Source organism: Homo sapiens, chromosome 7 (genome assembly GCF_000001405.40).
Source record: "Homo sapiens chromosome 7, GRCh38.p14 Primary Assembly".
In the NCBI taxonomy this organism is placed as follows: domain Eukaryota; kingdom Metazoa; phylum Chordata; class Mammalia; order Primates; family Hominidae; genus Homo; species Homo sapiens.
The window spans coordinates 47,273,409-47,298,595 of NC_000007.14; the positions used below are offsets into that span (position 1 = coordinate 47,273,409).

At 46.5% G+C, this 25,187-nt stretch overlaps 1 protein-coding gene across 25 annotated transcripts in view, besides 2 other annotated features; it reads right to left on the bottom strand.

Moving 5' to 3' along the window:
- Nucleotides 1-1,745: 1,745 nt before the first annotated feature.
- Nucleotides 1,746-25,187, bottom strand: part of TNS3 (tensin 3) — a 307,433-nt gene continuing 283,991 nt past the window's right edge. For all 25 annotated transcript variants that reach the window (XM_047420733.1, XM_047420729.1, NM_001410878.1 and 22 more), the window contains 8 exons: nucleotides 23,674-23,805; nucleotides 20,325-20,420; nucleotides 19,420-19,497; nucleotides 18,547-18,624; nucleotides 10,289-10,457; nucleotides 6,878-6,946; nucleotides 6,756-6,782; nucleotides 1,746-4,812 (listed from right to left, as the gene is read on the bottom strand). In XM_047420733.1, the coding sequence (XP_047276689.1) occupies nucleotides 4,668-4,812; nucleotides 6,756-6,782; nucleotides 6,878-6,946; nucleotides 10,289-10,457; nucleotides 18,547-18,624; nucleotides 19,420-19,497; nucleotides 20,325-20,420; nucleotides 23,674-23,805 (794 nt within the window). In that variant the 3' untranslated portion in view covers nucleotides 1,746-4,667. The remainder of the gene's footprint in view (nucleotides 4,813-6,755; nucleotides 6,783-6,877; nucleotides 6,947-10,288; nucleotides 10,458-18,546; nucleotides 18,625-19,419; nucleotides 19,498-20,324; nucleotides 20,421-23,673; nucleotides 23,806-25,187) is intronic.
- Nucleotides 18,072-18,431: an enhancer, noted in NCBI's record as "active region_25976". NCBI's record gives its function as "activates an Ori minimal core promoter by ATAC-STARR-seq in GM12878 lymphoblastoid cells {active_cell/tissue: GM12878}" and the evidence as "EXISTENCE:reporter gene assay evidence [ECO:0000049][PMID:35858748]".
- Nucleotides 19,655-20,854: an enhancer, noted in NCBI's record as "BRD4-independent group 4 enhancer chr7:47332661-47333860 (GRCh37/hg19 assembly coordinates)". NCBI's record gives its function as "activates an origin of replication core promoter dependent on BRD2, P300/CBP, MED14 and CDK7 cofactors, and independent of BRD4, by STARR-seq in HCT116 cells {active_cell/tissue: HCT116}" and the evidence as "EXISTENCE:reporter gene assay evidence [ECO:0000049][PMID:35650434]".

Below are 25,187 nucleotides of genomic sequence, written 5' to 3' on the forward strand. Positions count from 1 at the left end.
GTGGAGTCCCTTTTGCTGTTTCCTCTTCCTGGTCATCTGGCTTGGTGATAGGCTCTTGGTGACCTATTTGTTCTGTTGCCTCAGGCCAGGCTTCACACTGTGAACTGATTTTTCAGGAATTTAAGGGCGACTTGTGTTTTTCCCACTTATCTTGTTTGCCAGTTCAACAGCCCTTCTGTCCAAATGTGTCCAGATCTCACCAATCCCTGCATCATAAAATGTCCCTTCCCAGTCCAGGCCCCAAGTCTACCTGGAAAACTCCAATTCATCCTCTGAGACCAGCCCAACTGCCCCTGGTCTGTGAAGTGTGATCCCCAAAGCCATCAGGCAGGCAACCTACCTCCCTGGGGACAGGATGAGACACAGAAGCCCAACTGAGCTACAGACCTACTGTCCTCCAGTGGGCAGATCCAAAGTGTTCATTACACAATAGATCAATGACCCCCCAAGTGGACGGACCAAGGTGCCCACCACATTAATAGAAGGACGACCCCAGTAGGTAAGGCCCAGGTACTCATTAGGTAACAGATTGCTGAGAGATGAATGGGGGACCCATAACATCCTCCTGCAGCAAGTGGCAGGGGCCTGTCCAGCTGAGGTCTCATGGCCACTGGGTCTCTCCAACAGTCCCCAGGGCTGGCTCTGGTCGGGGACCTAGGCACATGTGCACACTGTACGGAGCCCAGTAATTGTGACAAGTATGGTGTTCTTGGGAAGCACACTCCCTAAGCCGCAGTGAAATCAATGCCCTGTCCACCTTTCCACCTTGTGACATTGGTCAAAGGTCTGGGCAATGACTGGCTTCAAAGACTCAATGGGAGCTTCCTGTTGGACAAGATTTAATCTGCCACCACCTGCCCTCTCTTCTGCTCCAAAGCAGTAGTACCGGGACCATTTCAAGTTCACTCTCCCAACATAGCTGGGGTGAAATATCTCTGTGTCTCCTCAGAGTGGAAAGCTACAGTCTCTGGGGGCTGACCACGCAGGCAGAAAACTGTGCACAGGGTGGCAGCTAACTGCCATCTTTATCTGTCCATAACCAAATGAGCCCAAAGCATTGCTTCTTTTCTGGTTTGGATCTGAGGGAGTGAGGTTAGATGGGGTCCTGTGTCCCATCACCTGACTCAGGAGGGAGGGGACAGGCCCAAGAGGGCAGAGTCCGTAGAAAAGGGCAAACTCCCTTAAGGTGGGGAGGGAGGAGCCTTGGCTGGGGGAACAGAAGAGGCAGGTGACACTGGCTGTCTCCAGCATCTGTTGATGTGTAAGTGAATCCACCAGTCTCAATATTCACTTTTAGTGCCCACTTCAATAGACACTGGGAGGTCCTTCAGGAGCTGGCCCACTTCAGGGGTGTGTTTCTGCAGCCAGTGTGTGTGTAGGGGTATTCATAGCAACATCGAAAACATGTCAGGACCCATTATCAACACTGCATTGTGGTTAATCTTCAAAGATCTTTGAATATAACATTTCAAAGGTCTCTGGGCAGAAATCTTAATATATTCCTGACAGCAAAACATTTGTGATTTTATAACTGAATCCACTGATTTGTAAACACACAGACACACATTCATGAACGAGCACACACGCAGACGCACAGACACATGTGGACAAAGATACATCTGTGCAAGCACATGCACACATTTGCAGAGACACATACACAAAAGTGCACACATGCACACGCATACACACATGTGCAAACACACACAAACATACTTCAGGGTACACAAATACCGTCTCACGGAGGCTTACCAAGTTCATAATTTTATTATACTCTGAATAGAGATGATATTTAAGGAGCAGAGAAAATGACTATACAAAAGATTTATAGAACATTCATTTACATACTGGATATATTCTTTACAGTATCAGAAAAGTAAAAATATGCACTAACAAGGCAGAGAAGACGTTACAAGGTATTTGATGCTGAGAATAAATGCACAGTGACTTTTAACATGGCTATAGCTTAACACTGGAGGAATACAACAATACGTTCTTTTACTGAGTAGTTAGTAGGACCCTGGCTATAACATGCGTTGGGCACAGTTCGTGAACTCTCCGCATTTACTCCCCAGGGCAGTACGTGCCTGTCCAGCGGGAGCCCTGGAGACAAAATGCCTGGAAACGTTCCTTTTCCTGTGGCCCTAGAGCCGGTGTCCACGGTGGGGGCTCTCTCACGGTTTCTGAGCCCACAGTACAATCTGTGATGACACACAGCTTGTTCTGTTTAATGCACATGTAACACAAAAGGAAGAAAGAAACTTCCTATACCAGCTCTTCAGAAATCGTGGAAACTTGCTTCCTTTGGTTCCTCAGAGGGAGCTATCTGCTTGGAGCAAATTCCCCGATGCCCTTGACCACGTTTACCTTGTGTAAAAATCACACCTGGCCAATGAGTTCAAAAAGCACGTTTGCAGGGCTTCCTGAATGCCGTCGAGGCATGGCTTCATGAGGGCCATCGCGGGCACCCCGATGTCTCTGTGATTCCCTGGCAGGCTGCGTTTCTCAATACTGAGACCCTAGTTTGCTCTGACTTCTAAATGAGCTCTCTCATCCTTCATCAGAAGGATAAGGAACCTGGCCTGCACTCTTTGGGTTAAACATGGGTAGAGACCGTCTCAGGATGAGGACCTCTTGGGGAAAGTACAAACCTCTGCTCCCTGTGGCCACATTCCTGCAGTGGATGAAAAACCGAGATGCTAGAGGCCTCTGCTAAAGACATCAGGGTCAACACATGAGGATCTGCTGAAAATGCCAGCACCTCCTGACAGTCATGCCACCGCAAGTTAGAGAAGGAGGTCCACAACGACCAAGGCAAACATTTGGCACAGAAATGAGGCACTTGGTTTGGTGCATCAATAGGAGCTAAAAAGTGGAATGGTCCACCTGCTTTCACACACGCATACACGCACGCATGCACACACGCACACACACACAACACCCACTGTGATTTGGCTGCTTCCAACTCTGCCTGTTTCTAAGTTTTCCTCGGCCCCTCACTTTAAAGCAGAGTTCACAAAGCACATTCCCAAACCCCAGCTCCCTGACAGGAGCTTGTGACACCAGTGTGGCCTAAGAATGGGGGATTTGACTTTTGAAAGCAGAGGAGGGAATTTCGGGCTGGATCGCAATCAGGACAGTCAGCATGCCTGCAGAGCACCTAGGCTGTGAGAGGATGGGGCCAAGGCCTTATTCTGATGTGGCCCAGCTCCATCTTTCACTCTGGGGATGTTCCAGGGTCACAAATTCCCCCAAACCTTTGACCACGAACAGATTCAAGCAGGAAAACCAGGGCATTGGAATGTTGAAATAAGCCTGAAATACACTTGATTCAGTGGCTTAGATGATGGCAAACAGTGGCACTCAAAAACAGCTTGTCAGTACCGGGGTTTCTTCTCTTTTTCCTCATCCTCCCTTCTGCTCACACATGCCACAACCACACATGGTCCCCAGCAGGAACCCCAAGGTGGCAAGGAGCAGCACAAAGAGGGCTGATAAATGCAGGCGAACTTCAGGTCGTGCAGCTTCAGGCCTGAAGATGATCGAAAAGCCCATGTGGGGGATGCTGAGCTTAAATCCAGGAGTTTTCCATCCCTCCTGGACTCTCTCCATCAGAAAAGAAGTCATCCACAATCGGGGAAAAACATTCCAATGAGTAAAACATCAGGGTAGGTTGCTTGAGGCAAAGCCACCTTTGGGCGGCACCGCATATGGGAGACCCACAGTCCACTGCACACTCTTTCAGTGGCCAGGGGCCTGCGGTGCATCCTACATAGGGACAAGCCTCACAAAATCACAGCTTGGCAGGCTGCAGCATTTGACACTGGTACAGTATAGCAATGGCAAATTATCATAAATAATTTGGCATAAGTAAAATATAAATTACATAGAAATAATATTTTTGTTCCTTCTTCTCATTTCTCCTCTCGGTCCTCACAGGCTCTCCCCAGCCCAGCTCGCCCAGCTCGCCCAGCTCGCCCAGCTCACCACAGGTGAGCAGGAGGCACAGAGCACTCACCATGGTGGGGTGGCATGGGGTCTCCAACGTGGCCAATTCTTCCCACCACCCCCATCCTCACAGCCCATCGCAAAGGCCCCTCGTTGTAGGCCCTGCTGTGTTCCAGAAGGGCCTGACTTGCACAAACCTTCGTCAAACATACGCCCCCTTCTCAGTTTCGTTAGCATCTCCATCTTGGGAAGACCGAGGTGAGGGAAACCCCCGGCCTCGGGTGCAGCTGGACAGAAGCGCCCATGCGGACGGGCGAAGCATGGCAGTCACTCGGCACCTCTGCCTCAAGGGCTGGGGATTCCTCATCCCCCGGAATGCTAGTGTGCCAGGGACATGGGGACCACCTCGTGTTCTGTGCTGTTTCCTTGCATGTCCCTTTCCCATGGGGACCCTAGGGGGTGGGGTGCACCCATGCCCAGCTTCTTCTACCCAAAAAGCATGTGGCTACAGAGATGTGTCAGATAAGTCACTTTCAGGAAAGGCCAATTCACGGTGATGTTGTTTGTTCTTGTTTTTGCAGAGCTGGAAGATCCTCTTTCCCCTCATGGGCCTGGAATGTCAGGTTTACTAGTTTGGTAAAAAGTGGGGGCCCCACCCTCACCCAACGGCTGTCTCCAGGGCTTCGAGAGGCATCGGTGGGTCCAGGGAGGGAGGGGAGTTCTCAGACCTTCTTTGGGGAACCAATCATGACCTTTGATACGAAGTTGACAATGGCACTGGCAGGCTGCTCAGGGTCATGCTCTGCAAACAGGTGGCACACATTATCCGTGGCACTGCCCTGCTTCCGGGCCACAAATCCAAAGACTCTGCCAAAGGAAAGTCCAGTCAGAGTGGTCAGTGTCCCACAAAGTACCAAGCTTCTACTTCCTCCAGCTGCCAGCGGCACTGTCAGGAGGAATTTTAAGTGGCACCTATCAAAAATCAACCACGTGCCCAGCACCCTGCTGGCCACCTGTTCATGCACTTTACCTCCAGCCTTCACAGACCTACAGATGGGATGTCTGACTCTAGCTCTGCAGTGAGGACCCTGAGGCTGAGAGGTGAGTGCCCTGTCCACAGCCCCAGGTTAGGACCTGAATCAAAGCTGAGGCTCAACTTCCTCTATAGATGCTTCCCCACGCCAGGGCCAGAATCTCCTGGGCACCTGTCCCTGCAGATTCCTGAGCCCCAGTCCTGACATACTGGACCACAGTCTGCAAGGCGAGTGGCAAGGGACTCAGGGGCTCCTGAGATGATGCCAGAATGCAAGTCCTGTCTGGACTTCGACACTCCCACCCACTGGGACCGAAGGGGAAATACACTAGGCGCTCCTCTCAGGCCTTGGAAGCCTGCATTACAAACTACATAGACTTCAGGGAGCTGTTTAAAAAGAACAGCCCATCGAATTATTTTTCTTAGAAGAATTAGAGCCATTATCTTAATAGGCTTTTATGAGTCCTGCACTTCACACAATAATGACCATATCCCTATCCAGGTCCTGGGCAAAGGACTTTCTTCTCTTTCTTAGAAAAATGAAGGATTTTTTTTGTTTAAATTTAGCAGTTTCCGCATCATGAAGGGACCAGTCAATGACACTCAGGTAACCCCAATACAGTCACAAATTCCAAGCACATGAAAGCCCGTGTTTCTGCTACCAGCCAGAGTGGGAGTGTGCCCAGAACACAGTCCCCACCGGGGAAGCCCAGCTCGTCAGTACCAGGGTCTCTTCTCCTTCTCCCCGCTTCTGCTAACGCATGCACTGAGCAACTTCCTGGACAGACAAGCCATTTGAAAACAGGATTCCAGGGAAGGATGCCTGTGATCAGGCACTGTGGTCATTAAATCCGGGTTATGCCGAGGAAACCAGGCTGGGGGGATACAGCCCATTGTGCCTCCAAGTGGGAGGTTAGGATGAGGTCCCTCAGCTGGCCCTGACAGGAACACTGGGCCAGGAATGAGCCCAGGCCAAGCAAGGCCACGGTACTCAGGGAGCCAGGGAAAGGTGTGCTTATAAAAGGGGAACTCTAAGCCGGGCACGGTGGCTCACACCTTTAATCCCGGCACTTTGGGAGGCTGAGGCAGGTGGATCACCTGAGGTCAGGAGTTCGAGACCAGCCTGACCAACATGGTGAAACCCCGTCTCTACTAAATACAAAAAATTAGCTGGGCCTGGTGGCGGACGCCTGTAATCCCAGCTATTTGGGAGGCTGAGGCAGGAGAATTGCTTGAACCCGGGAGGCAGAGGTTGCAGTGAGCCAAGATCGCGCCACTGCACTCCAGCCTGGGCAAAAAGAGCAAAACTCTGTCTCAAAAAAAAAAAAAAACTCTAACAGCTGCCTGGACTGGCTGTGGAGCAACGGTGTGATGAAGGCCCTCCTCCGTTGCATTTGGTAAATTTGGAACACCCGCTTCATCCACACACCTGCACAAAGGGAGCAATTCCTTCTAGCTGTGCAGACCTCAGCACTGCTGAGCCCATGCATTCCCAAATGGCCAAAAAGGCTGTGCCATCCATCTCCCTGTATCTATGCCACAGTGTTATATGACACATGTAAATATTGCACATCCAGCCAACAGCCGGCAGAAAAGTTAACAGCATCCAGATCCTTGTCCATAATGAGAACACTTTTACTTTTTTCTTTTTTAAAAGAAATTGGCATGGTGTAGTCATTTTCTTATAAGGCACCCCCTGTGCAAATCTGGAAGAGAATTCAACTTTGGAGTACAACTGCAGACAAGGAGAGAATGTAAAGAAATCTCAGCAACTTACTTTGAGGAAGGGCCATCTTTGATCCACCTTGCAAATTAAAGAGAAAAACAGAGGTTAATTTTTTTAAACTAAAGGATAGAATTAAGTACACTCCTTGCTCAATAAAAATGCAAATTTCTTACTTCCTGTCTTGTGGGTCCAAGGCACAGAAAATCACACTGTTCACGGGGTAATGCCTCCGGAAGAAGAGCCTGTTGGGACATGGGGGAGAGAGGATGGCTCCTGTTACTAGGGCTTTTGGGTGATGGGGGATGCACTGGGCGGGCTCTCCCATACATGAAGATTCTTCCAGCAGAAAACATTTCATACTTTTACTCATCACTTGGAGAGAAGAAAGTGCGTGCTCATTCAAAGTCAACAGATGTCATGAAGCTGGGCAGAACAGTTGTTACCAGTAGACGGAAGCACCACACAGGCTGAAACTGTCAGCCGTGTGGAAGGCGGGAATCGGGTCAAGAAGCCCTAACAAGCCGGGTGCAGTGGCTCACGCCTGTAATCCCAGCACTTTGGGAGGCTGAGGCGGGTTGATCACCTGAGGTCAGGAGTTCAAGACCAGCCTGACCAACATGTGAAACCCCGTCTCTACTAAAAACACAAAAATTAGTCGGGTGTGGTGACATGTGCCTGTAATTCCAGCTACTTGGGAGGTGGAAACAGGAGAATTGCTTGAACCTGGGAGGCAGAGGTTGCAGTGGGCTGAGATCGCTCCACTGCACTCCAGCTTGGGCGACAGAGTGAGATTCCATCTCAAAAAAAAAAAAGCCCTAACAAACTGGAAAAGCTGGTAGGGTGTGAGATGGACACAAGGAAGCACCTCTGGCCCTGCCAGACACTGCTGGCTGCAGGATCGTGGGGAAACCACTAACAGCCTCCAGGCTCCGAGCCTTGGTTTCCTCACCTGTGAAAAGTGGATCATGTTACCAGCCCACCCCTTCCACAGGACAGATGCCCAAGTCAGATGCAGTCACAGGTCTGAGAGCACTGAGTGAACAATAAAGTGCTGTGCAAGGAATATTCCTTAAGGAAGGACTCCACATGGTCACTGATACGACCCCCATAGAGACCTCCTTCCAGGCTCACCTGACAGCCCTTAGTCACTGACATGACCACCTGGGGCATTCTCCTCCGGCTCACCTGCCCAGCCCTTCCTTCCAAGAGTGCTATCCACCCAGTCCACATGGTCCCCAGAGGATGCCCAACTCAACACTCTGCTGTGTCCAGGCTGGGCCAGTCTAGCTGGCTTTGGGGTCACCCCTCTCCTTCTGGGAATGACTCTGCACCGGCACAGAGTAAAGCTCATCTGGAGATGAAGAGAGAGGCCAGGAGATAGGCTAGGGCAGAGGCAGAGCCTGGGTGTGCTTCAATTCAAGGTGACCCTGCAGCCACCTGCAGCCCCTCTCAAACAGGTGCCTTTTAAGGCTGATTGTTGGTGAGAAGATCCCCCTTTTGTCTAGAATTAGCCAGTCTGAACTCAAACGCTATCTCTTACAGTATGAAAGATCTGAACTGATGTGGACATGACCCATCTCCAGGGAATATAAAGAATACAGGGAAACTAAAGAGACACAGAAAAAAGACAACTCTGACAAGGGCACATAGAACAGATCCTGTGAAGAAATAACATATCTTCCAAGGGCAGCAGGGAGGAGGGAACAGTCAACATTGTGAGGGTCCTTAAGGAGCCCAACCCTGACCCTGAGTCTACCATGTCGCCAAGCTATGCCTCCAGACCCTGAGTCCACCATGCAGCCTAGCCATGCCCCTGACCCTGACCCTGACCCTGAGTCCACTAGGCAGTCTAGCCATACTCCTGACTGTAAGCCTGAGTCCACCAAGCAGCCTGGCCATGCCCTGAGCCTGACCCTGAGCCCACCAGGTAGATGATCCATATCCCAAACCCTAAGTCCACCATGTAGCTCCGCTATGCCCCTGACACTGACTCTGAGTCCACCGTGCAGCTGAGCCACACCCAACGGGAACCCTGAGTGAGCCATGTAGCCGAGCCATGCCCCTGACCCTGTGTCCACCATGTAACTGAGCTATGCCTGACACTGACCCTGAGTCCACCATGCAGCTGAGCCATACCCAACTGGGACCCTGGGTGAGCCATGCAGCTGAGCCATGCCCCTGACCCTGAGTCTACCATGCAGATGAGCCATGCCCCGACCCTGAGTCTACCATAAAGCCAAGGCACAACCCTGACTCTGACCCTGAGTCCACCAAACAGCAAAGCTATGCCCCCTGAACCTGACCATGAGTCCACCATACAGCTGAGCTATGTCCCTGACCCTGAGTCCACCGTGAAACTGAGCCTTGCCTGTGACCCTGACCCTGAGAACACAGTGGGGCTGAGCCATGCCCCTGACCCTGAGAACATGGTGGGGTTGAGCCACAACCCTGACCCTGTCCCTGCGTGTGCCACACAGGGCACTTGCTGAGTGCCCTTTTCATTTGAGACACTAAACCTTGAAATAGGTATTTTGGTGCAGGATTGAAATACGAGAGCATCAAGCATTGGGACCCTGCCCAGGGTCATCTACTGGTCAGTGTCAGGGGCACTGAACGGGTCTGACCAGCAAAACCCACGTTCTGCTTTGTGCTCATTTTTTTCAGCAGATGAAGGGTGATGAGCTAAACCTGCCTAAACTCACTTATTCCTGAAGCTACAGAGGGGAAGATCCTGCCTTCAACCTCCCAGGTGGTTTGGGCAGATGAAGAAAATGTCTTGCTTCTAGGGACATGGGCACCACAGAGAGGCATGGGGGCCCTGCTCGGGGAGCATCCTGGGAAAGCAGCCAGGCTGGTCTGAGTGTCCCCTGCCGGCCTGTCTGCTGTGATGGCTGCTGCCATCATGCTGCTGCCACGGTTGATGCCAACGTGCCTCCTCAACCACACAATACAAAATAATTGCATCTGAAATGCTCTGTTCCTAGGCCACAGGCTGCACTCAGGGATGGCATTCTGGAGGGAGGGAGACAGGAACAGCCCTGTGGCTGCTCTGTTCCATGCTTATGCTGGGCATTCAGTAAAGATCCACATGGAGAACATCTGCTCCAGCATAACTGGCTCAGTAACAGCTCAGGCGTAAGTCATTTGAAATTGGCCAACGGAAATAGTACATATCAAGGTCATACGCTCACCTGAAAGGAAATGACCCTCTGTTAAAACAATAGGTTCCAAGATCATTGGACTCTGATCATAGTATCAGAGTGTTTTTAAGGAACTGAGTTAAAAGATTTTTTGCATTTGCAATTATGTGTGTATGTGTGTAATTTTAAAACGCCAAACGTCTTTTTTTATTTTATTTTACTGATTTCTAAGAAAAATAGCCTTGCAAACAAATGCTAAGAGTTCCTATGTGGTTCCCAGGACGTATTTAATGACAGAAAAATACCTAGACAGACCCTGGGTGACTCATGACCTCAAAGACGGCTAATGATTTACCTGGATGACTACTCACACTAGGGAAGAACAAGAGGAACGTGACAGCCCCGCCCCTGCTGGACGGCTCCTGCCTCCCTCTAGGCACTCACTTCCTCTGATTGTCTGTCAGGGTGATGCCCTGGGCTGACACCTTGAAGTGCACAACTGTGGACACAGGTGGAGGCTCCTGGACCAGGGTGATGCTCAGGGCCTTCTGGATCGCCTGGTGGCCGGTGAGGGACTCCATCTCCACAGAGTTCAAGTACCACACATTGCAGGCTGGAAGACACCAAGGGAGACACATGTTAGTTGCAACTATTGGGACAGGTGTGTCCTGTTAACACACAGGCAGTTGCTGATGTGCAGACTGGGTTTATGAACAACTTGCGCATGTGGCCTATGCTGGGTGCATGTAAGGCAGATGGCCTTTGCCCCTAATTCTGAAAACATGAACAGTGAGTGCTCCAAGGATGCACTTACTCCCATGTCAAGGCAGAGAATAAGCGAGTTACTAGAGCAAAGCAGACCCGCCTGGTGTGGCTTTGCCTTCCCACCAGCCAGAGGGAGCTTTCTATTCGCCCTGCAGCAGTATTAAACCCTCGTGTCCCAGGTGGAGCCCAAGGCACCTTCTCTGGTCTCAGGGTGGGTATGGACAACAGTCACATTAATATGAAACCCAACTACTGTTATAGGTAAGGAGCCCAGAGGCCCTTGAGAAACAACCATGAGGGAAGCATGTGTCCTCAAATCCTGGTTGCCAAGAGAAGGAATGGCTTGCAGTGAGCTCAGAGAACAGGCTGGAAAAAGCCAAAAGTGGCCCGGCCTCACCTGTGTCCTGGCTCCCCATGCTGCCAAGGGAGAGCTGTGGGTCTTGTCCCTGACCATCTCCTCTTGGGAGAAGAAAAACAACTGGGCTCCATAACAACCCTTCTTTCCCTTCTAGCCTGTGACCCTGCAGTTCAAGCATAAGTGCACGTGTGACTTTGGGGCATGGGTGAAATTGAGGTGTTCCAAGACATCCAGCCTTAGCCTGAAGCTCATTCACTGAAGTAAACCAGGGCCTCTCCTGCCCAAAGGCTGAGTAGGCTTCCTCCTGAGGAACAGAACTGCCCTCACTCACTTGCCCCTTGTCTACTGTATACATGTCCCTCTATGTGAGCATGTGGGTGTCTTAATTCCGTGGTTAAAGGCCTCTAAAGTTTCACTTAACAGAAAAAGAGTGTTTTCCCACAGTCTACAGCAACACATCTCAGCACTCGGATGCACGGTACGCGCTGGGTAGTGTTGTCTCCCTCGGCCGTGTCCTCCTGGGGTAGGCAGCCCTGGGAAGCAGCTCCATTTTCTCTTTGCCTTTAAGTCTGACTTTTCAGAACCAGCAAGGGCCATGCCTATTGGCAGGTGTGTTGGCAGGTGCACAGACAGATGTGTTGGCAGGTGGTTTGGCAGGTATGTTGGTAGACGTTCTGGCAGATGTGTTGGCAGGTGCACTGGAAGGTGTGCTGGCAGGTGGTCTGACAGGTGTGCCACAGGGTGCATTGACACACAAGCCCACAGATGGGCTAGGATGTCCCTGGGTGTCACAGTGCAGGGTGACTTGTGAGTTGCTGGACCATCCTTTCTATCCACCGCAAAGGCCATATTGTTTATAGCTGAAGACACTCTGAGGAATTGAGCCCACTATTTTTGATGATCACTTGGTGATATGGTTTGGCTCTGTCCCCACCCAAATCTCATCTTGAATTGTAGCTCCCATAATTCCCATGTGTGGTGGGAGCAACCTGGTGGGAGGTAATTGAATCATGGGGGTGGGTTTTTCCCATGCTGTTCTCGTAATAGTGAGTAAGTCTCACGAGATCTGATGATTTTATAAAGGGTAGTTCCCCTGCACATACTCTCTTGCCTGCCACCATGTAAGATGTGCCTTTGCTCTTCCTTTGCCTTCTACCATGATCATGAGGCCTCCCCAGCCATGTGAAACTGTGAGTCCATTAAACCTCTTCTTCTTTATAAATTACCCAGTCTCAGATATGGCTGTATTAGCATCATGAGAGCCGACTAGTATACTTGGCGATATTTATCAGGTGGATATGAAATGCCTAGAAGTAACCTAGTGGTCCCGCTTCTGAGGAGATTGAGAAAGGAAATATTCTGTAACCACATAGGATAGCTAACCTTCAGGGAAAGACATTTGTGCCACATATTCATTACAGTGGGAAAAACCAGAAACACATTAGAAATGAGAGAGGGGTGAAATTAGCTCCCTCGGTGTAATACCAAGCAACCAGCAAGCGGTAACCAGGAAAATCACATGGCAGCATGGAAAGACGTCATCAGCAATCAGCAGGGAAAGCAGAATAAAAACCACGTCTGCTATGATTAGAACGGGAAAATGAAAAGCATGTGTGCATCAGATAGGAGCTGCGAGGGAGCCTGGAGAATTCAAAACAGACTTCACGAGAGGGACAGTCCGCCTTTGATTTTATTAGCATTACTGTCATGCTGATCATGCAGTTATGAAAGAGAGAAAAAAGGGAAAATTTTGACCTAACTACTAGGAAAATTCCACAAAATTGGCACAATCTCAATCAGTTCACACAGAACCACAGCTGCCACAACCCAGACCCATGCTCTCTTGAAGGAGTCACAGATGGCTTTCTGATGAGGAGCAGTCTTGCTGGCTAGAGTTTGGTAGCAATCTGCTGTTTGGGGAATCTCTCTCCCCAAATGCAGGAACTATGTCATCATTCCTTAAAGCAGAGAAGAAAATGCTGCCACTAGGGAGGCTGTTCTACGGAGCACACATCAACCAACTGACACCAAGTGCCCCAAAGCCTCTCTCCAGCAGAGAACAGGCATGCCTGCGCCTGCCTATGATTGTCCAACTGCACCTGACCCAAGACCATCCAATGCCACTTGACAGGTGCTCTTGGCCAGAGGTGAAGATTCAGTGCCCAGTAAGAGTTACCAGGAAGGCACCCACCAGACCCATGGCATGGAGTTCTGTCAATTGCTAGGCTACTCTGGGAAAGGGACTTGATAACACAGAACAAAAGTCTGAGGCCCACATGTGGGAATTTGTCCTAAGGCAACAATCCAGATTTCAGAAAAAATAAATAATGCAGAAAGATGGTCCTCTAAGCATTGTCTGTGGTATTAAAAATTAGAAACATGGTAAATGAACATCCATAAGGAGGTGAATTATATGATGGACTATTGTGTAGCCATGAAAAAAATGAGACCTGCATTATGTTTGTAAAAACCATGGGTAAACTTATTATGCTAAGAGAAGAGAAAAGAATCGTACAGGCAGCATGACCCCAAGTACAAGGAAAAAGGCAGCATAGGATTGGATCTGCTTGACATCAGGAGTGGTCTTTGGGCTGGAGAACACTTTACCTGCTGTCCACTCTTCCTCCCAATATTCAGGGGCTGCATAGGGGCAACCGATCTATGAGTAGTTCATTTTTCCTTTTCTTTTATTTTCCATTTTTAAAACTTAAAGAACATATAAGACTCTATAAAAAAAAAAAAGTATACCTACCATATGCTAAAAAATGCAACTGCAACATTTCTGGGAAATCTATTAGAAGGCTACTGAAAAGAAGTAAGTCTTTCTTTTCAGGATTATATTATATTCCTCTGCTTCAACAAGAAACAATTAAGAACCGAGGCTTAAAACACAAATAGAAATTGTTTTAGAGATTGGAACAAAGGCATAATGGCCTTAATATTTAAAAAAAGGGATTAAACTGGAGAGCATTACAAGTTTATTCCCATCTTTGTGAGTTGTCTGCTAATATTTCTGAGTTTCAGCTTCCTGAATCTTTATAACGGGGAAATTGGACATGATCATCTCAAAGAACATTGCACATCCAGGAGTCTAGGACTCTAAGTGAATTAGGACAACAGATGAAGTTCAGTTTAGGAAAGAAAACTCACTAAATTGCTGGAGGTCATCAGAGATTGCAATAATTCCACCGTCTTGCTACAATGGTTGTTCTGCACTGATTCTAAACACCTGCAGCCAATCCTCCAGGTGAAGACGACACTAGCTGAGGGGTGGTCACTGTGACAGCCTCACTCCTCTGGTGACAGATCTGCTGTCCTGGTTCCGTGGCTTGGAATCGCGGTTAATGTAATGGACAGCAGACATTCGCAGCTCTCAATGTGTTTCAGAAATGAGATTTTTAAAGGAAAGAAGCTCAAGGCAGTCATAATTTAAGCTTCATATATAAATGCCCAACTCAGATGATCAGATACAAACTCCAAGTTCTGAATGAAGTCTTGACTCTAAGAAGACCCACCCTTAAAAAACATTTGGAGTTATTGATACATTTCATACGTAATTTTAAAAGATGGAAGTGCACTTAAAAATGATAAGTCAAGATAGAAGAGAAAGTTTTAATATCTAAAAACAAGTGCTATTAGGATGCACTGTTATGATCAACTAAATTCATTCAATTCATTTATTAATTCCACACTTACTGGGTGAATGCAGGATAACTAAGAAGCTTAAGGAGAAAAGTGAAATTGCGTGTGCCCTGGTGCTACCATATAGGGCTGAATGGGCAGGGCTGTGTCCCTGAGACAATATGGGCACAGCTGGACGTGGGAGCTGAATGCCAGGCCTAGATCTACCATTCAGGAGCCAGAGCTGCCAACTTGGGTCCTCTGTCTATGACATGGGATGACAGGACACTACACCCACACGCCCTGTGGGTGAAGGGGAGGAGACAATAAGCTGGGCAGGACAAGTGCTCTGTGCCTGTTGCTATCACCGTTCTTCTGCGCTTTCTTGAACACTGCCGATGCATAAGTTGTGATTTTAAAACCACTAATTAAAGGTTTTCAAAATTTCAAATACATTTTTAAAAGGTGCAACTGAAACAAATAAATCCATCAGAGTGGAGCTGGTTTTGTAGCCCTGTCTCCTCAGTTGAGAGTGAGTGAGCTGCTCATCAGATAGGTCTACAGTAAATTCCTGCATCCTTCTGGGCACTTCACTGGGACCCACAGACAGGGTCCACTGTTACTTTAACAGAAGAAAGCTAAGAACCATGATGGGCTCCAGGGACCCCCTAAAACAGATTTAGGGGCTGTGGCCCAGGACCAGCCCAGGTCCCTCACAAGGGAAAGGGTGAGGCCGGCTTCCCAGGAAAGGCCATTCCTCTTGGGCCAGAAAAATGCTCCCAAGGCATTGTCAATGTCCTATTCATTTAATCTTTTCAACTGCTATGTGTGGAAATATTATTATCCCCACTGACCAGATACAAACCTCAGGTCCGCATGGCTAAGTGATTTGCCAGAGATCAAAATCCTGAGTAGCAGAACATGGCCGGAAACCCATGACCACAGCTACATTTTTCATTTTGGAGCTTCGAGTTTTAGCACACTTGCAATTTGGGGCAAGCTATTTTCACCTTTGTTTTGGCCACAGATAACTTATCCTATAAGGAGAGTCTAAAATAACTTAAACACTACAAAATTCCATTCAAAACAGAGTAATTTTACTTTAGCTTGGTAACAGACACAGTGATGTATAATTTTACAGGGAAAAGCTACATAGAAGAATAATACAAATTGTAGAGGAAATAAGAAAATGCCTATACATTTCATACACCTTCATTGTGGAGTTACACCTGTAAACTACTCTGCAGATATGAGGTACAGAATGGAGGTATTTCTAGTCCAATTTTCTACCAGACTCAGAAATTCCCTCCCCAACATTTCTGACAATAAACACCTACCTTGCATGAAAAACTTAAAACAGTTTTGAAAGTCAGGGTTTGAAAGTCAGCAGTCCCCACTGTCCTCTCTAGCTGTGTCCCTCCCTCATGGCCACAGAACCACAAGAGCCCTATGGTGTGTGGTTTGTTTACAACCTTCTTAAACTGGGGCCACTACGACTGCATCTAATGCTGCAAAAGTAACCTGGCCTGGAACTAGTAAGCGATTACAGAAAGATGCTGGATACAAGGTTAATGTACAAATGGTCAACTGCTTTCCTACAGACCAGCAATAAACAAGTAAAATTTGAAATTAAATACACAATACCATTTACAGTAGCACCTCCCAAAAACTACTTACATATAAATCTAACAAACTATAGACAAGATCTATATGAGGAACACTATTAAACTTTGATGAAAGATACAAAAAACTAAATAAATGGAGAGATATTCCATATTCATGGACAGCAGGACTCAACTTTTGCCAAGGTGTCAGTTCTTCCTAATTTCATCTATAGATTCAATGCAATCTCAATAAAAATCCCAGCAACTTATTTTGTGGATATTAACAAAGTGATTCTACAGTTAATACAGAAAGGCAAAAGATCAAAAATAGCAAACACAATATTGAAAGAGAAGAGCAAAGTTGGAGGACTGACATTATTTGACTTCCAGGATTACTATAAAGCTAAAGCAATCAAGAAAATGTGATATTGGTGAAAGAACAAATAGGTCAATTAAAGAACTCGAAAGTAGACCCACATGAATATAGTTAACTGATCTTAGACAAAAGAGCAAAGGGAATACAACTGTGAAAAGACAGATTTTTCAACTGGTGGTACAGAAGCAACTGTACATCTGCAGGCAAAAAAATAAAAAATGAATCAAGACACAGACCTTACTTCCTTCACAAAAATTAACTTAAAACGGATCACAGACTTAAAGGTAAAATTTGAAACTATAAAATCTAGCTGGCCTTGGGTTTGGTGGTGACTTTTAAGATACAATACCAAAGTCACAATCCATAAAACAGGAAATCAATAAGCTGGATTTTATTAAAATTAAAAACTTCTGCTCTGTAGAAGAATGAAAAGGCAAGCCATGAAATGGAAGAAAATATTTTCAAAAGGCCTATCAGGTAAAGGACTAGTGTCTAAAATACACCAAGAATTCCCAAAATTTAACAATAAGAAAACAAAACCCAATTAAACAAACAAGCCAAAGGCCTTTATGGACACCTCACCAAAGAAGATATACAGATGGTAAATAAGCATATGAAAAGGTGCTACACATCATAAGTCATCAGAAACAATGAGATACCACTACGCTACTATTAGAAAGGCCACATTCCAGAACACTGGCAACACCAAATTCTGGAGAGGATGTGGGGCAACAAGAACTCACATTCATTGCTAGTGGGAATGCAAAATGGGACAGCCACATTGGAAGACAGTTTGCCTGTACCTTATAAAACCAAACACACTCTTACCATACAATCCAGGAATGCGCTCCTTGGTATCTACGCACAGGAGTTGAAAACTTATATCCACTCAAAAACCTGCACATGGGTGTTTAGAGCAGCATTATTCATTACTGCCAAAACCTGAAAGCACCCACAATGTCCTTTAGTAGGTGAATGGGTTACTAAACTGATACACCCAGACAAGGAAATATTTGCTGCTAAAAAAAAATGAGCTATCAAGCCATAAAAACACATGGAGGAAACTTAAATGCATATGACTAAGTGAAAGGAGCCAACCTCAAAAGGCTATGAACTGTATGGTTTCAACTATATGACAATACTGGAAAAGTTGAAAATATGGAGACAATAAAAATATGAGTGGTTGCTTGGGGTTGGTGGGGGAGGGAGAACGAACAGAAAAGGCACAGAGGATTTTTAGGGCAATAAAACTATTCACTATGATACTGTAACGGTGATTACCTGTCATTATGCATTTGTCCAAACCTGTAGAATGCATGACATCAAGGTGAACCTAAATATCAAGTCCCTAAACTAGGGACTCAGGTGACGAGGCTGTGTTAATGCAGGTTCATCAACCATAACATGTGCATCACTTTGCTGGGGGATGTTGACAGCGGGGAGGCTATGCGTGTATATGGTGTATCTCTGTACCTTCTTCTCCATTTTGCTGTGAATCTGTCACTGCTCTAAAAAAGAAACTCTATGAATAATTTTTTTAAGTGACCTGCTCTGTCTGGCGAGCTGGTTCTTGGGTGTTGTATGTCTCACTGGGGTTGCTGGCAGTGTGGGTCAAATCATTGACTCATGTCAAGTGACTTGTTGAGTCATGTCTCTGGAACATTTTTACATTTACAGTTGCCGAGACAGATCACCCACATCCTGTCTTACTATATTTTCCCCCAAACTAAATCCAGGGCTTGACATTTATTCCACTGAATTTAGTCTTGCTTGAGTTAGACCGGCCCATGAAGGCCTTGCTGATGTCCCAACAACTGCACCCCACCCAGCTCTGTGCAAGCTTCTATAAAAGGAAACCTCCTTCAAGGCTCACAGAAAAGAAAGGAAACCTGAATACTGAAGTGCAAAAGGAAGTTGTGTCAGTGAGTCCTTTTTCTCCCCAGTCACCAGATGTAGAAATGGAGCTGCATTTACTGACCTGCCCCCTGCTTCAACAGCTCAGCTGCTGAATTGGCTGCCGTCTGGGGAGAACTTTCTGCTATTTCCTCCAATGGATCTGTAGGAAGGGGCAAGAAAATACAGAAATGAGTCCTGCTCCTGACCAAGAATCCTCATGACAAAGTTAGACAATTTGATGACAGAATTCCCAGATGGTGACATGCAATGGTTTTGCAGAGTCAAGAGTTTCTCTTTGGGACAATAATTTGGCCCATAGAAACCATGATCACATTCTGAATAAAAGTAGAGATGACAAGGCCTAACAAAATATTTTTCTAATCACCGAATTAGTCATATGAACAATGACACTTTGAAAAGTAAATCACATTTACCTATATATTAAGTTAGACCATTTTTATGTGAAGTTGTGACTGCTTAGGAAAGTGGGACATACGGTCACATCGCCCTGACATGCTGTGGGTGTTATTTAATTTCATTATGGATATTGTTTAACAAACATAAAAGTAAAAAGAACAGTGCATCCATCATCTAAGTTCAACAACATCAACATTTTGCCCATTCCGTAGAAACGTAAAAATTAAATGTCAATGACCCTGAAGCCTTCTTTGTCTGAGGGTTTTATATTTTTAAACTACAGAATCTTTGCTCTATAGAAATCTTTCATCAAAATCCATGATGTAAAGCTATCTGGGAGCTGTCAGTGAAGTAGAATCTCCTCTTCTCTCCTTAATTTGGATGAACTCATTGGCCTTTTCTTGGGTTCAACCAAGAGAATACGAAAAAACTTCCAGTCTTATTATTTTTCTCAGTGGATCTTCATGGATCTCTAAAACCGGTGGCCTTGACTGCAGACAATCTACACAGAGCCTGACTAGCACTGAGGACCCCTTACCTCTCTCTGGGATAAGCAGCTTGCACGGCAAGGCCAAGGGCGTGATGGAATGCTGGCACACCAAGGCCGTCAGGCTCCCTGCAAAGTGGACAGACAGCAAACAAGAGTCAACAACTGCTGTAGATGTTGTGTGCTCAGCCAATTTATCAGCTGGAATGAAACGGATGCAAAGGCTGAGCCCTTATCTTTTTAGCAACTGGTATGTTAGATTAGTGTGCAGCTTTGTGTAAAACTTCAAAGAAGTATAAAGTTCCACAAGATAGTTGAGAGGTAAGTAAATGGAACTGTTTATCATTCTTATCATAGACACATCATTACCAAATTATATAAAGACTAAAGCATACAGTTTGTTGGATCTTGAATCAGGAGGGTTGACATCAAGCCAACTCCAACTTCAACCATATATATTACCCCTGCACAATGCTTCTTAACAAAGCTCTAATAACAATGATGCCTAAGGCTGCACTGTGCTTTGTGTGGATTGCTCAAGTCATCTTTCCAACAAGCTCGTGAGGTAGGGAAGGCTCCCAATTTGCAGGGAAGGGAGGGTGCTCTGTTGGGAGCTCTATGTTGTTCCTTGTGCTGTGGGATAGGGTCATGCTGGAGCTCCAACCTTCTCAGGACTTACCTGCCTGCCAACTAGGATAGAATCTTATTGACGTCTGTAATTCCTACGTCTGATATGGTGCTTTTCATTTGTTTGGTTTTGACAGAGCTTTTAAGAACAACTTCAAATCTAGTTTATCTTAAAGATAATAATGCAGATCAGCAGGATTTCAGAACTGGGGACTGAAATATGAGTAAACCACCATAAGAGTGATAGTCCCAAATCTCAGGTTGGTGAGCAGAGGGAATCCAGGCCTCATGAGTTCAGAACATTGACAGCAACCTCTCAAGCAACTCACCGAAATATGGTTCATTCGAGCACCCTTTCAACCGCACTCCCTTCGGGGTACACTCGATCAAAAAGTGCCGGACGAGTTCATTGGCCAAATCTCCAGCTGTGGCAAGAAATTTAAAGAAAGAAGAATTTTTTGAAAATGGGAGCATGGGAGAATTCAATAGAGAGAACATAAAAGCCAGGAGCTACAGTTGAAAAGGCTCTTCTCTGAATACGAGTCCAGTCACTGCAAAAGAGGCTGCCAAGAACCATCTTCGTCCTAGGAATGGTAGCCGGGCTGCAGGACAGCTGGATGAGCACAGGCTAGGCCAGATACAGGGCGGGAACCCTTGCAATGACAGTGTGGGGGCTGGAGAGGTCCCTTGGGAGAGGCCCTCAAACATTGTGCAAGAATCCCCAACGAAGGGAATGAGCTTGCAGCTAAGAAAGAGGATCATGAATCTCCAGCTGAATCCTCTCCCAAAGAGGAGAGGTGAGAAAGGCTCAGACACAAAATGATACCTATAATGAATCACTGAAAAGAGCTGGAAGGAGGTCAGTCTTCTGGGTGGGATTTAACCAGGAGCCTGGATCTTTAAAACCTTCCAGAAAGCAAGCACTCAGCTGCACGGGAGCAGCACTCTACCACATTGCTATTAACAGTAAACAGTGCATCTGCTTTAGGCCAGCCCATGAGTCCAAAGAGAAAACACATCATAAAAAGCCACTGAATGGCAAAACTATCTGAGAGTGGAAAAGTACAAACAGCACAACCAAAAGAACAAGAAGTCACTGCCCTATGCTAATGAGTCCAACAGACCTTCACAGTGTGCTGTATTTCTGGGATCCAGTGCTTCCTTCATCACCCTCCATTGGGGCATGTCTGCCTAAACTTCTAATATTTCTGGTGTTGGAAACCTCCTGGCAGCAAGATCCACTGGAGTTGGGCTTGGTCCCCAGTGCCTTGCCCACAGTAGGCTTCCAAAAGATGTTTATAAACATGACAAATATCACTGTGTCAGCATTTCACAAGGGCAGTAAAGCTTGCAGAAAAGGAAATGATCAGATTCCATAAAAGGCTGTGTTGAATTAAAGTGGGATAAGAACATATTGACATTCAGTTGTGGGAAGAAAATGACGCCTGGCTTCCAAACTGAAGGGGACACCAAGCGTGGGTCTGGATTCCACTTGTGAGAAATGGCTCAGTGGGAAGTCCTTCTGGCCAGGGCTCTCTGGAGAACAGCATCCAGAACGTCCCTAGCTGTCCCATCTCCAGTTTACTGGAGGTGGTATGGTGAATGGTTGTGGCTCTTTATGACCTGGTAAACTCTTTGCTCAAATCTATCCTTGGATTGTGAAATCTGAATGTCAAATCCAGGGACAAGATGAAGACACAGCAGTCAGATAAGATTTCACCCAGAGGCCACCAACAACACTCGGTTTCCTCAAGTCTGCTATTCTAATATCCCCTATTTTGTTCCTTTCATCTTAAGATTGAGTCCAAAGTCTGTCAGAGAGGCAGGATGCACGCACAGAGGTAAAAACAGTTATATACTCTCATCTAGATTCCAAAAAGATAATGCATGCAGAAATGTTATTTGTCCTTGCTTTAAAACTTTACACGGAAACGAAGGAGCCAACCAAAACCATCCATCATTCCTCCTCTCCCAATAATCTCTCATCTCTGCAGACTCGCCAGATGCTCTTGGTCCTGCGACCCTCTTTCCTGCCATCATCATTATTCAGTTTCAGTCCTCAACAATCAGGTCTAATTCAGCTCTCCAGCTACAAAAGCCCTTATCTCCACTCAGAAATAGCATCGTGTTGGGCTTCTTATGCTGGAATTCTGGATGCTAGAAGATCCTACTTTTCAAGAATTATCTGTCCTTTCTCCCCTACACAACGCCTTCTCTCTACTTCACTTCAGGACAATCAGTAGCCACAGGCTTCGGGGCTGAGCTTTGACTGAGCCCCGGGTCTTTCCCAGCCTCACTCCCCACCCCTTCCACTCTCACACCATTACCTGTGCCAAAATGAACCCATCTATGTTTCCCGGAAACGCTACAGCCCTGCCTGAGGCTGGACCTCCTGGCAGCCAAATCATACATTCCACAGGGTGTAACTCCAAGGCGATTTTCTCCAGGAAGCATGAAGCAGAGGTTTCATCCAAGAATTTGGAAAAATTCTCTCAGGTATTAGGCACAGAGCATGAGTGAACCAGGTGGGTGTCTCACTTTTCTATAAACACAGGGAGTTTAAAATCCGAGCTGCTTCTGATTTCCCCACTCCTAGTGAATCAAGCTGTCCTTACTGGGAACCAACGACCTGCAATGTCCCCTCAGTCCACAATTTCCATTTGGGGAGACAGACAGAGTGAAAGAATAGCTTCCCTTTCCTTAGTCTAGTCTGCAGCATGGTAGCACACAAAGATGAGTATAATGGGGCAAAAAGGGCAGGGGGAGAAAAAAAAAAGAAAACTGAAAATCAAGTGTCCACCAACAATAGAATGGATCAATTGGCTGTAGGATTTTCATAAGATAGAAAGCCAGAACTTCCAAAGAGAACAACAGCTACAAGCAATCTTAGAAATATGATTGGTGGATGCTGGTGAGGTTGTAGAGAAAAAGGAATGCTTTTGCACTGTTGGTGAGAGTGTAAAATAGTTCAGCCATTGTGGAAGACAGCGTGGCGATTCCTCAAAGACCTAGAGGCAGTAATACCATAGGACCCAGCAATCCCATTACTGGGTATTATACCCAAAGGAATAGAAATCCTTCTATTACAGGTTGGTGCAAAAGTCATTATGGTTTTTGCCATGATTTTTAATGCAAAAAGGATTCAGGCAGGCATAGTCCTTTACCTGCATTAGAGATCATCTCATGAGTCTAGGCTTATTCTAGTATCACTTTTAATCCATCTAAAAATGCCCTACTGGGTATAGATACAAGAATAGTACTCAACAGTATGCTAGTTTTCATATAAAAAATGTGTTTGCCTGCATTTGGACAGGTAACCAGTGAAAAGACACACACGAATCTACTCCAGATGGTTGCCCAAGGGAGGTGACAGGGTGGTGAGGGGGGTAGAGCCGAAATGGAAGCAAAACGGGCTTAGTGGATGCCTTATCCCATGGTTCTAATTTTTGAACAATGAAATGGATTACCTATTCAAAACAATAGAAAATAAAATTAACAAATTAATGTTCTTTCTTAAATAAGGTGAAAACTTTGTAAAATATACCTGAAAAAATAAATACTAAGAATAAAATTTGTGAGTATTGTTAAAGTCATCTTTTATTTTATTAGCCTAAAAATAAACCAACAGAGTTTCTCTGTGGATGAGCTGAACAGATCAATAGGGAGCAGTAACCTTACCTTTCTTGTTCAGCTGCAGGACTGAAGGTGGGGGCGTGGCCACCTTCATGGCCAGGCCATAGGCCCCTCGGAAGGAATGGCTGTCTCGAACAATGAATGAGCCCGGCTCCTTGTCCTTCAACATGGCGATGGCTGGAGAAAGGGAGGAGAAAGACAAGAAGGTCTGCCGGGTGGACAAAGGTCTATGCCCACTCATAACCTTGGGTAGGTCCTCTCCCCTTACTCTTTTTGCAAACTGGATCAGTGGGGACCTGGCCGGGATCCCTCTGCTTGGCTGGAAGAACTACATGTCCATGCAGTTGAGGGACCTTCAGGGAGGTCTCTGTGGTGTCGTGTATGTTTCATGGGTGGGCCTGCCTGTTGAGGAGGCAGAAAGGACAGGAACATCCCTCTCTTTAGCTAGACTGAGGTGCCGGGCACTGTCCTGTGGGCTGCCCATGGAAGAACACAGGATTTCTGTTAATCCCACAATACCTGTGATGTCCAAATGATGGTCCCCACCTGACAGCCCAGGAAACCAAGGCTCACGCTGAGTAAGAAACAAGACCAGATCCAAATATACACAAAGGGGAGAAACAGGCAGTGGGAGGGAGGCTGTCGCAGAACACCCTGCCTCTGCTTGGACACTGCCCCCTGTGGCATTTTTCTTAAAGATTTTAGAACATGAGAACATGAACTCTTTCAACAGCATAAAAGGAAAGAAGTTTTTTTTTTTTTTTTTTTTGAGATGGAGTCTCGCTCTGTTGCCCAGGCTAGAGTGCAGTGGCATGGTCTCGGCTCACTGCAACCTCCACTTCTGGGTTCAAGCGATTCTCCTGCCTCAGCCTCCGGAGTAGCTGGGACTACAGGCACCTGCCACCACGTCTGGCTAATTTTTTGTATTTTTAGTAGAGATGGGGTTTCACCATGTTAGCCAGGATGGTCTTGATCTCCTGACCTTGTGATCCACCCGCCTCAGCCTCCCAAAGTGCTGGGATTACAGGCGTGAGCCACTGCGCCTGGCCAGGAAAGAAGTTTCTAATTACATTTTCTGATGATAGAAAGGGCATACCCAAAATGTTACTGAAAATTTAATACAAATTCCAAGATTCACCAAGGAAGTAACAAAAACCTGGCCTGCAGGTGGCCCCCTATCCCGTGGCTCCATGGCTGATGTGGCCAAATGGGCCCAGCCTGGATGGGGCTGAGGACACATTCCCCATGTGCCCGCCAACCCAGGGCCTCGCACAGTGGGTCACCCAGCTTCCCTGGTGAGGCTGGTAGGCATTCAACTAATCATAATCATTGCTTCAAAAAATCTCTCTCCTTCATGGCCAAAATCTGGCATTTCCAAGAAGAGGGAGTGGGTTAGGGTAATAGTAACCTCAACTCGATACTGCCCAGACAAGCCAGAGTGTTCCCTGATAACTAGACTACATCTCAGAATTTCTTTTCTAGACATTTACTCTTTATTTTAAAAAAGGGAAAACTGGGGATTTAGAGTATAAAGTTATACATAATTACAGCCATGGAAA